The following is a 12968-nucleotide window of genomic DNA, read 5'->3' on the forward strand; positions in this document are numbered from 1 at the left end:
TGAATCCTTTGTTGTCATTTCACAAACGTTCACAGCATCTTCACTAGGAGTAGAGTCCATCTCAAGAAACCACTTTCTTTCCACAAGAAGTAATTCCTCATTCCTTCAAGATCTATCAGGAGATTGCAGCAATTCAGTCATTCTTCAGGCCCTACTTCCAATTCTAGTTTTCTTGTTATTTCAACCACATGCATTGAACCCTTCAGTCATTCATGAGAGTTGGAATCAACTTTCAAACTCATGTTTATGTTAATATTTTGACCTTCTTCCATGAACCATAAATGTTCTTAATAGCATCTAGGATGGTAAATCCTTTCTAGAAGATTTTCTATCTACTTTGCCCAGATCCATCAAAGGAATGATTATCTATGACAGTTATAGCCTTATTAAATGCAGTTCTTAAACATTAACACTTGAAAATCAAAATTACTCCTTGATTCATGGGCTGCAGAATGGAAGTTGTGTTAGCAGGCATGAAAACATTATTAATTTCCATGTATATCTCCACCAGAGATCTCAAGTGACCAGATTCATTGTCAATGAGCAGTAATATATTTTGATAGGAATCTTTTTTTATGAGCAGTAGGCTTCAAAAGGGGGCTTAAAATATTCAGTAAACCATGCTGTAAACAGATGTGCTGCAATCCAGGCTTTGTTATTCCATTTATAGAACCCAGGTAGTAGATTTAGCATAATACATAGGGGCCCTAGGATTTTTGGAATAGTAAATGAGCATTGGCCGTCACTTAAAGTTACCAGCTGCATTAACCTCTAACAAGATGGTGTGTCCTTGGAGCAGTCAGAGCACATACATTTATTGATTAAGTTCAACATCTTATTTGGGTGCAGTTCATGGCTTCCAAAACAATTATCACAGTAACGTCGAAGATCACTGGTAACAGATCACCACAATAGATATAATAATGAAAAGTTTGAAATATTGAGAGAATTACCAAAATGTGACACAGAATCACTAAGTGAGCACGTTCTGTTGGAAAAGTGGTTCCAATGGACTTGTTGGATGCAGGATTAACATAAACCTTCATTTTATAAAAAATGCATTATCTGCTAAGTCCAATAATGTGAAGTAGAGTAAAACAAGGCATGCCTGTTGTTGTCTCACATAATAGTTTAACTTATGAATTATGATATGACTTTTTACAAGAGAAACCAGTATTATATCCCAAACCATGCTGTGAATTCATTAAGGGTGAGGGTCATTTATGATCTATCTTTGTATTTCTCCCCAAGATCTAACAGAGTTTTGAATGTATTTAGGTCGGGCCATACAAAATTGCCTATATTTGATCATTTGTGATCTGTAAAAAAGACAATTCAATATGGTTCAATTTCCCAGTAGTTATTCCAGAAATAATTGTGAAATGAGTCAGATTATGTTAAAATTTTACATTCTTATTTGTAAATGTATATATTTATGTATAAATATATACATTTAAACATATGCATACACACACAAATATATATATATGCTAATGAAGTCATTTAGAATTAAAGATTAGCTTTAGTTTTAATTTTTTTCTTTTTTTTTTTTTTTTGAGACTGAGTCTTACTCTGCCACCCAGGCTGGAGTACAATGGCGTGATCTTGGCTCACTGCAACCTCCACCTCCCAGGTTCAAGCAATTCTCTTGTCTCAACCGCCCGAGTAGCTGGGACTACAGGCACCTGCCACCATGCCCAGCTAACTTTTGTATTTTAGTAGAGACGGAGTTTCACCATATTGGTGAGGCTGGTCTCGAACTCCTGACCTCAGGTGATCCGCCCACCTCGTACTCCCAAAGTGCTGGGATTACAGGCATGAGCGACCGTGCCCAGCACCAGTTTTAATTTTTTGAGTAGACATCCAGGCCCAAATAGCCCTTTCAGTTCAGTAGCTTCTAGATGGTATTTTGTTTTTAAAGAAATAAATGTGACCACCTCTTTTCCAGGGAAATAACTGTAGCTGAGATAACAGATCATAAATCCCTAACTCTCTAGGAATGGTAATACCTATATGGAATTATTTTCTCTGACTGTATGCTTGCTGATAATATTCTTCTGTAGAGTAATATTAGTGATAGAGATCTTTATTTTGAGTGCATGAAGTGTGCCAAGCACTGCTGTAAACATTTCACATCTATTAATTCATTGAGTCCTTGCTTCAATCTTATAAAATACATAATACTATTTTCTTCATTTTTCACATGAGGAAATTGAGATATGAAGTAAAGTCATGTGCTCAAGATCGCACAAGTAATGATGAAACTGGCTGTTAAATTCAGGCAGTCTGGATTCAATTCTTCTTTTAAATACCATACAACCTTGTATCAATAAACATATATGTATTTTAAAAAATTAGAATAAGCTAAAAGTTATTTAGCCCTGTAAAATGTACAGCATATGATGAAGCATTTATAATTTGGAGTTATAGAGTTCAACAGAGTATACCTAAGGTTGGAGACCTCTTTTATAAATAGTTTTATAAACTATTAGCTCTTTTATGAATAACTTGAAATCATTTTGAATTATAGCGCCTTAGTTCCCTGCATTAAAAAGTGGAATTTATAGCACCAATTCCTTTGTAGGAATTTATAAGAGGAGAAAGAATAATAGATCATACAACATGTGTTAATAAGAATCCTTAATTAATTAGACAGTTTTTTCACATTTGGTTATGAATGAATGGATGGAAATACTTTTGTAAAATTATGTTTAATTCTACCTTTCTGTAATAAGTATATTTTTCAGTACAGATTAATTTCTCTAATACTTGAAAACTAGAAACTTATACAAAAGTCACACAAGCAGAGAATTATTAATGCTGCTTAACTGGGTATACATATATATATCTCTACACATATATATGTGTAGATATATATGCATGTATATCATGTATATTACATATATACACAATACATACACATAACAATATGCTTAGTAACAGCATTTGTGTTAATTTACATCTATAAGAATTTTTATAATTTAATATTTTTGCAATAAATGAAATAACTCACTGTGATTGCTTCTGAATTGGGATGAGAAGAAACATATACTTCCCTGGAATTCAGCAGCAAACAGTGACAAAAGCATTAGATGGGGAACCAGGATCGTGGACATTCTACTTCAAGTTTTGGGGCCTTAGATTTGATTGGCTGGGAAAATGAGGTAGTTAAATTCTATGATTTTATGTTGTTCAAGGGTTTTTGCAAGTATCTTAGAGCATAGTTTCTTTTTTTTTTTTATATCAGCTCTTAAGTCTATGTTCTAGAAAATACAATTCTGTTTTTCTTAATAAAATAAGCCCAGCATACCCTTTGTTTTATGGAAATATCAAAAGCAAAACAGCCCTAAAGTTTTCTTAGATACAGATTTAGTAACTTAATATAATATGTTGAGTCATTCAAAATGCATGAACATTTTTCTGAAAGGAGATGCAAGAAACTGTTATTCATGGCTAAGTTTAAAAAGAAGTACTGGTGAAAAGTCTTGGGTTGAGATAGTATGGCAGTGGAGGCTTATGATTTTCTATGCCTGAATTTTCTCATCATTTCCATGAATTAAAATTTTAATGTTATCAAGGCTTACTTGGGAAAGCAAACCGTGAGCCATTTTGTTGTTTGTTTTTATTGTTGTTTCTACTTTAGGAAGAGTGCTTAAAATTTCGAATTAAATGAATATTCAAGTTCAACTGACAAGAAGAAAGTGGCGTAAGGCAAGGTTACCTTCTTACAGGCTGTGATGGAGTTCCCCGGGCCGCTTCCTGAGCTGCCACAGCCTCTGCCCTGCTGCGGTTCCAAAACGTCATACATCCGTGATGACTCCAAGTTGCTGTTTGTGACCCAAAACACAAAAACACATTCCAGTGAGTCATATCTATATTTGGAAATAAATAATAAGTAAATCACAACATGGTGTATCAAAAATCATCTTTTTCAGATTGCATTAAACACTGCAAATCCCCCTGCTGAAATGGACATTTCTTTGTTGCATACACTTTTGTAATTGGCAGAACCACTACAGACGATCCTACTGTGACCATGAAAGTACAGCCCAATGCCTTCCACAGTGCTTTGATGGACATCATTGCATCTGTCTGACTACTGGCCTTGTTAGCATCTTCTCTTAAGCAAGCAGCTTTAAAACCCAAATAAATTTTTCTCAATTGCCACATTAATTCAGCTCTGAAAACACCAACACATAACAAAATATTCATTTTATTTTTTAAAATGGAGGTAAAATATAATTTTAATCTGGACTCAGAATAGTACCATTAAAAAGAAATGTGGACTTTAGAAAATGCAGGTAATGTCTTTACCATTCCTGCGGCTGGAGATAGCTCCTCAAATTCTCTATCTCCAAAATTATAGACTTATATCCCTCCCCCTGTCTCTGTCAAATCTTCTTAATGGGCTTGACTACGTACAGAGCTGCATAAATATTTTAAAAATATTTAAAATTGGCTGAGCATGGTGGCTCATGCCTGTAATCACAACACTTTGGGAAGCTGAGGCAGGCGGATCATTTGAGATTAGGAGTTTGAGACCAGCCTGGCCAACACGGTGAAACCCTGTTTCTACTAAAAATACAAAAAAAAAAATAAGCCAGGTGTGGTGGCATGTGCCTGTAATCCCAGCTACAAAGGAGGCTGAGGTATGAGAATCGTTTGAACCCGGGAGGTGGAGGTTGCAGTGAGCTGAGATCCCGCTATTGCATTCCAGCCTGGGTGAGACCCTGTCTCAAAAAAACAAAAAACAAACAAACAAAAAAGGCCGGGCATGGTGGCTCACGCCTGTAATACCAGCACTTTCGGAGGCCGAGGCCGGTGGATTGCCTGAGCTCAGGAGTATGAGATCAGCCTGGGCAACACGGTGAAACTCCATCTCTCCTAAAATACAAAAAATTAGCCGGGCATGGTGGTGCATGCCTGTAGTCCCAACTACTTGGTAGGCTGAGGCAGGAGAATAGCTTGAACCCAGGAGGTGGAGGTTGCAGTGAGCTGAGATGGTGCCACTGTACTCCAGCCTGGGCCACAGAGTGAGACTCCATCTCAAATAAATAAATAAATAAATAAATAAATAAATAAATAAATAAATTACTTCTACATTTTCAACACGTGATAAAAATGAAAATTATTATCAAACTTTTAAAATAATATGACTGGAAACTCAAAATTAAACCTCATGTAAATATAAAAAATTATCTAAATGTTATATGCATTTCTAAATATTCTTCTTCTGAAAATATAATAATTTGGACTTTTAAAATGTACTGATAGCTTAGGTCTATTGGTTTAATATTTGTTCTTGTTGACCACATAGAACATGCACAATTCACTAACATGTACTTTTGGAACATAATCTGATAGTTCTGTATAAAATTTTCAATGCAACATGTAGATGGTTTCTCTTAAAACAAGTGCTAAATAAAAGATCAGTTAAATAAACAATTTATTTCTAACTAACCTATAACTCTCATGTTTCAAGCACTAAATTCATCAATTTTCAATTAGCCATAAGTCACACAGGGCATTAGTGTAGCCTTTTGGCATTTCCATTATTATGGAATGACATTTTAAAAAATGACCACTGACTGTGCTGTGTAACAAATCATAGATTCAGGCAAAATCTGCACAGAGTAATTAAAATAAAATCTGTTTTGTTAAAATTTTTTATATATTACTTTTTGAGCAATTGTCACTTGAGGGCTAGAGTGAACCTAATGCACATGAAAGGATAACACCCATATTATCTTTGCTTAGCTGAGGAAAGATAAAAGAAAGGAAGGAAGGAAGAGAGGAAGGAAGGAAAGAAAAAGAGAGAGAAAGAAGAAAGAAGTAAAGAAAGGAAGGAAGGAAGGGAGAGAGAGAGAGAAAGAAAGAGAAAGAGAAAGAAAGAGGAAGAAAAGGAAGAGAAGGGAGGGAGGAAGACAGAAGGAAGGAGGGAGGGAGCGAGGAAGGAAGGAAGGGAAGGAGGGAGGGAGGAAGGAAGGAAGGAAGGAAGGAAAGAAATAAAGAAGGAAGGAAAGAAACAGAGGAAGAAAGCAGGAAAAAGAAATTAGCTCCATTTCCTGGCTGCCAATCCTGACCTATTCTGCCACCTAGCCTTTCTGAGTCTTAGTCTCATCATTTATAAATGACATGTTTGGACTAAAGTGTGTGGTTCCCTCATGGCTCTGGAAGTCACTTGGCGAAATATCAGAGATGTCCTAAGTTTTCAGCCCCTATCTTTACAGGTTTCCTACAATGTGGGCCTATAACTTTTTAGGCTGCCACTTACTTACCCAAGCGTGGACATCTCTTTGAATGCTTTCTTGTCCACAGGACAGTTTGGCTTTTACCAAAAGGCCGAACAGCTATTATTGTTAGGTTCTAAATAGTTTACATGTGGAAGATAAGGCCATGCACCAAGCTAACTTTGAACTTGACCTCTAAGTCAAGTTATATGACTCCTTCTAGGAGCCAGCCAAGGCCCTGTGTGCAGTTCAGAGAGACAGGATGTAGGGTCCCACAGCTCTGTGTCCTGTTGCTACTGTGTCCTCCAGGCAGCTCTGATGGGCTAGTAGATCCCTTTCATGCAGGCCATCCCTGGACTTATGCCCAGTACTAAGACATCTCCCATGACTTTTCGCAGGGCTGGAGACTGCAGGAGTAGGAAATGGGCAAACTGAGAAGAAAGGCTGACACAGACCTCAGGCCGCTCCTTCCAGATATGAAACGTCGTAGAAAGACCACTTCAAGGCCGGGTGCAGTGGCTCACGCCTGTAATCCCAGCACTTTGGGAGGCTGAGGTGGGTGGATCACCTGAGGTCGGGAGTTCGAGACCAGCCTGACCAACATGGAGAAACCCCATCTCTACTAAAAATACAAAATTAGCCGGGCATGGTGGTGCATGCCTGTAATCCCAGCTACTCAGGAGGCTGAGACAGGAGAATCGCTTCAACCCAGGAGGCAGAGGTTGTGGTGGGCCGAGATCGTGCCATTGCACTCCAGCCTGGGCAACAAGAGTGAAACTCTGTCTCAAAAAAAAAAAAAAAAAAAGCAAAAAAGCACTTCAACAGCCTCTGGTCACTCTAGAAAGAAATCACATCTAAATTGGGCAGAGATGGTTAGGTCCAAAATTGGGGTGATGTAAAAATAGAGAAAACTAAAAGGTCGGCCTTGAAAACTACTTATTTGCCCATGAAGCACTTTTATTTATGGCTTTAGATAGACAATCTGCTACAGTACTTTTTATGCACCCAAAAGTTTAAGAACTGCTGAGCTCATCTAATAGAAGGAAGTAATGGCAAGTCTACCTACAGATATCTTGGTATGAAAGTTTTTCTGCCTCTAAGGTGACTGTACAATCCTAGTTGAAAACGAAGTTATGGAAGGGAATTAGAAAGTTTTTTTTTGCTTGCCTGCAAGGCTGATGCCATTTGTTCTAATGCTAAGCCTGTATAGCATTAATAAATAAATTTAACTATATATATGCACCTATGTAGTTGTTCATTGTTGTGAGTATTAAACGAGGAAGTTGAGTCACATGGTGGGGCAAAAATTAATGCATTACTAGATGACAAGTGTAATGCAACTTCACTACACCCATATTTAAAGCAAATGCATCTTCTGAAACATATTGTATATCACTTTAATGATGCCTAATATCAAAGAAAATGTAGGTAGGCTTATGTTTTAAAGCATGTAATATGAGTGTGCATTTCCAATAGGTGACTTTACAACATGGCCCAGTCTGTTCCCATACCTTTTGGATGGAGAAAGAATTTTTAGAGTATTTACAATGATGCTGTCCGTGATCTCTAGAGAAGCAGAACATTTGCTGTTACAGGATGAGGCAGAGATGGCAGTGATATGAAACTCATACATTTATTAAAATGAGCTGAAATTGACATTAAAAGAATTGCTGTCAAGATACAGTACAGCTTTATAACTTGCTCCTAATGGGTAAGCCGGCAAATTCTTCCCTGGGAGATTTTCCTTTGATTTTGACAAGTGTTGACAATATTTATTAAGCACAACCTTTCAAACTGGTTTCATGCTGAAACCGTTAAGTGTGTTTCAATGAGGATGTACATAAACATGGGAAAGAAGGCACAAAACCAAATTTGAAGTAGTGATTTTAAACCAGACTTCCATAAAGCAGCTTTCTTTATAGAACAATTTCATATATTAATAAATGAGATGCTAAGTTGCCACTGTACTGCTACCACTGCAGTGACTCATGCAGTATGAAGAAGTAGGTCACATCAATAGTGAAAATAGCCTAGGGAATATCCAGTTATTTCCCTAGAGAGAGATGGATCCAGTTACTGGAAACTGAGCTGTCTATACATTGCAATGCAAAGTTTGGTCCACGGACCAGCAGCATTGGTGTCACTTGGGAGCTTGTTAGACACCCAGAAACTCAGAATTACTAAATCAGAATCTGCATATTGACATTAAACTCAGGTAATTTATACATCCATTAGAGTTTGAGAAACACTTACGTAACATATTAAATTGAATTCACCTTCCATTTGCCTGTGGGACACCATTCTGATACTGAGAAAAATAGATCAGAGTAAAAGAGATGGGGCAAACAGAGATAAAGAGGCTTGGGTGTAATATCCTCATGATATTACTTCATTTAGGAATATTCTACCTAGTCCCCACCTTCCCTTCTTGATAATTCCTACTCTGTCCTTTGGGTCTCAGCTTATAAATTACCTCTGGTACCTCCCTTCTCTCTTCCCCCTGCCAAGGAGGCCACTTCTCCTCTCCCACACACCTCCAGTGCCCCATGCACACACAAACACACTTACGCTCCTGCCTCGTTCCCACCCACATATTCCCACCCCACTCCAACCCAGGAAGTGAGACACTCTTCTTGTGTATTCCAACAGCACTCTGAGCCATATCTTGTTTTAGCACTTGTCCAAAAGGCATACAATTTTGTAATATTTGTCTCTTTCCAGTTTAGGCTGTAAGTTCTAAAAGGGCAGGGGATCACTTAGGACACAGGACAGCGCCAGTCAGTGGGAGATGCCCAACAAGCACTTATTGAAGTTGTATGTTCTTATCTTTCTGAGCATCCTGGTTAACCTCAAAAATTAGGCACAAACAAGTGTTTGAATTTAATGCTAAATTTTCTGCAGTGCTGACAGTTGGTGAGATAAGCCACATCTGAGAAGATAATTTAAAGAATTTCCCAGGATAGTTCTAATGAAAAGAGATTCTGCTGTTATGCTTGCTAAAATGTCAAGTAAACACAGTGTAAAGTTAAACCATTTTAACAGATTCTAAAAGATAAGATTCGCTCTTGTCTTCTCCCTCCTTAAAGAATGCTCTTGGTGAAATGTAGTAATTATAATTCATTTGATTGTCTCAACCCTATTAGGGATATCTACTCTTGAGCTTTATATTAAATCCTTTAATCCCAACACTAGAAAAAAAAATTAAAACTCAGAGCTACCAGAAGAGATCTTGAGCAAGGAATTGAGATGTTGTCATTAAAATCAATTTAACAACATATGACAACCAAAAATTGAGAGGATTTTAAAATTTGCCTTCACACAGTTCAAAATGAAAGTTTTCTCAAGTGAATGTTCTTATTTTACCCTCTTAAATTACCCAAAGTAATTTACCTGTTACATGAAGCCCAGAGGTTTAAGTCAATTTTTCAAAAACTGACTTGTTTTAAACATCACGTGAGATGTTAGTGTCTCCTATCTTCCTCTTCTAACCAATCTTGACAAAGACTCTTTTCTTGACCAAACTTTAGTCAAGCTCCTTTGAGACATCTTCTCAGCTAGGCCTGGACCTTGGCCTGCTGAGCCCAGCTGTAGAGAAGAATCCTGCTCAGTCAGTTTAGAAAGAATTCTCACATCCAAATATCTGATCAACTTCCTCATCCGCCCACTTTTGATACTTAAGTCCTTGGCCTGTCTAGTAAGCACCCCGTTAGGACAGTTTAGCAAGAATCCCCTGCTGTTGACATCCCCTCTTAGTAATTTTCTGTTCACTAACCCCTTCACTCTGCCTGTGGGGTATAAATTTCCACTCGTCCTTGCTGTATTAGGAGTTAACCTCAGTTCTGCACCGACAGCTCTCACTCCTGCTGCAATAACTTGCATAAAATCTGTTTTAACAATTTAAATATGTATCCAGTACAAAATTTTTCATTTACTGCTGTGTACATTTTTCTGGTTTCATCTCCTAGGTAAGAAGTTTATATTTTTTTTCTTTCTTTCCTAGGTTGGACATGTCATGTCATTCATGCAAATTAAATATGTCACCAACTCATTGGTAGCTGAAAGACCTACAAAATCCTCATTTATTCTGTAGGATTTTAGAAAATGTGTCATAGGAAACTATTACCAAACCTTGAAAATATTTAGAAGCCATCATTTTATGTTCTGTTTCAATACTTAAAGGTGGCTCCATAGCTGTAAAATAAATTCCAGACTTCTTAATCTCCTAGACCAGTAAAATAAAAATAACCATGGCAGTAATAATGTTATAAAGGGCCCAGCATTTTATTTTCCCAAATAAACTTCAAGAAAACCCCTTATAGTTCTGCTTTAACCATCATTCTTCAAATAAAGGGCTTTGTAATGGTGTAGCAAGAAACTGTGATGTATTATCCAAGAATGAAGGATATTTCTTTTCAAGAAAAGATGGGCTTTTTGTCTTCAGATTGGTGAAAATGTTGTTGCAGACCTGAGTTTGGGTTTCACTTTTTGAGGTATTGGTAAGTGGCAATAAAGAAAATATAAACAGGTCATTCATTATTAATCATAAAACAAGTGTCCCATTCTTAGAAGAAAGAATGGCCTCAAATTTAGCTATCCTCTAATTCAATCTTGATTATTAAAAGAAGATGAAAAGCAAAGACACTACTTAGTATTGTTATTTCATTTGAGATGTAATTTGTAAATATCAACAGCGGAAAAATTCCCTATTTTCAGTTCCGAAATCTTTTTTCAACAATAGCCAATATAATGTTTTCTCTAAAACACTATGTTGAATATTGTTCAATTAATGCTTTTTTATTTAGGCAACTCTAAATCTATCAGATATACACAGTAAAATGTGAAATCTCTTCTTAAACAGATACTATATAAAATATCTGGATTATATTAGAAAAGACAATCAAATAGTAAACTTCCTAATGTAAGAAAACAGCTGTACTTCCAAATAGAATGTTATTGGAGATTATATGACAATATAAAATAACACTTATTGAACAATCTGTGCTTTGTAAATTGATATATTATCTCTCATTAAGAAGACAATAACAAGTTATTTCCTATGGTTTGATCACTGCTGTACAGATTTACTAGTTTTATATCTTTAAAAGCTGTTTCACAATCTCAGGCTTTCCCAAGACCCCAACTATAATCCTTCATTCCGAAAAAGTATCAAGCAAGTGAGCATGATAACTTAGCCTTTTTCTCTTTTCTCTTTCATTTTTTAATGAAGGCTATGGGGGAATTTTTTCAAAATGTGTGCCCTACAAATAATGTGTATAAAAACATTATTTTAATGTAAGATAGAAAGTACACATTCCTGCTGCTAAGTTAATTTTGCATGAATATGTGCATATTTATACATGAATACCACTAGATGGTTACTATAGAAATATTTATCCCTAGAGTTCTTTATTTCTTTATTTATTTTCTTTCTTTCTTTCTTTCTTTCTTTTTCTTTTCTTTTTTCTTTTTCTTTTGAGATAGAGTCTTGCTCTTTTGCCCAGGCTGGAGTGCAGTGGCATGACCTCAGCTCACTGCAACCTCCACCTCCTGGGTTCAAGTGATTCTCCTGACTCAGCCTCCTGAGTAGCTGAAATCATAGGCACCCACCACCATGCCCGGCTAATTTTTGTATTCTGTATTGAAACATGGGGTTTCACCATGTTGGCCAGGCTGGTCTCGATCTCCTGACCTCAGGTGATGTGCCTGTCTTGGCCTCTCGAAGTGTGGAGATTACAGGTGTGAGCTACTGCACCCGGCCTAGAGTTATTTATTTCTAAAAAAAAAAAAAATGAGGTATATATTTTTCAGATAGTCAAAGCACACTATGTATATGACCGCATTCTGCTAAATCTAGACTGTAGTTCAGGGACATTCAGAATGTATGTTACCGTAATTGCTTCATATTCCCGTGTTCTTCCATCAAACCACTTGGGCAGGTGTCTCACTCTGATACTCTGATATATGATCTTCTTCATACTACTTCTAACAGAATTTACCCTCATTTAATGCACGGCAGGTACTGAGCACTCTATAGTGTGCTTTACATACTAATTTCATTATACCCGTTTTATAGAGGAGAAACTGAGGATTGATGAGGGTAACACGTAATCCAAGTGATATAGTTTGGATATGTGTCCCCTCCCAAATCTCATGTTGAATTATAATCCCCAGTATTAGAAGTGGGGCATGGTGGGAAGTGATTGGATCATGGGGGGGTGGATTTCTCATGAATGGCTTAGCACCGTCTCCTTGGTGCTGTCCTCACAATAGTGACTGACTTTTCGTGAGATCTGGCTGTTTAAAAGTGGATGACACCCCCCTCTCGCTCTCTTCTGCTTTTGCCATGTGACATGCCCACTCCCCCTTTGTCTCCCATCATGATTATAAGCTTCCAGAGGCCTCCACAGAAGCAGATGCCAGTGTTATGCTTCTTGTACAGCCTGCAGAACTATGAGCCAATTAAACATCTCTTCTGATAAATTTCCCAGTCTCAGGTATTTCTTTATAGCAAAAAAACAGCCTAATAAGACAAGATTATATTGCTGCCAAATAACAGACCTAAGATTTCAGTTGCTGCTCTAGACACCATACCATGTTATTTTCCGCTGTGATCTCTAACACTCCTTTAAGTGCTTTGCTTCTGTGACCGTGTCATCTAAGTGAGTCTAAATAAAGCCAGTTCCTAGTGTGTTGGCATTCAAGAATCTAAGGGCAAATTCCATTTCTACCAGTTACTAG

General features: G+C 37.0%; 1 protein-coding gene across 6 annotated transcripts in view; it reads right to left on the minus strand.

The window, feature by feature from the left end:
- The window catches only part of SPHKAP (SPHK1 interactor, AKAP domain containing), a 201733-nt gene that overhangs the window by 148304 nt on the left and 40461 nt on the right, over positions 1 to 12968 (minus strand). For all 6 annotated transcript variants that reach the window (NM_030623.4, NM_001142644.2, XM_006712778.5 and 3 more), the window contains one exon: positions 3722 to 3827. In NM_030623.4, the coding sequence (NP_085126.2) occupies positions 3722 to 3827 (106 nt within the window). The remainder of the gene's footprint in view (positions 1 to 3721; positions 3828 to 12968) is intronic.

This window comes from Homo sapiens, chromosome 2 (assembly GCF_000001405.40).
Source record: "Homo sapiens chromosome 2, GRCh38.p14 Primary Assembly".
Lineage (NCBI taxonomy): Eukaryota > Metazoa > Chordata > Mammalia > Primates > Hominidae > Homo > Homo sapiens.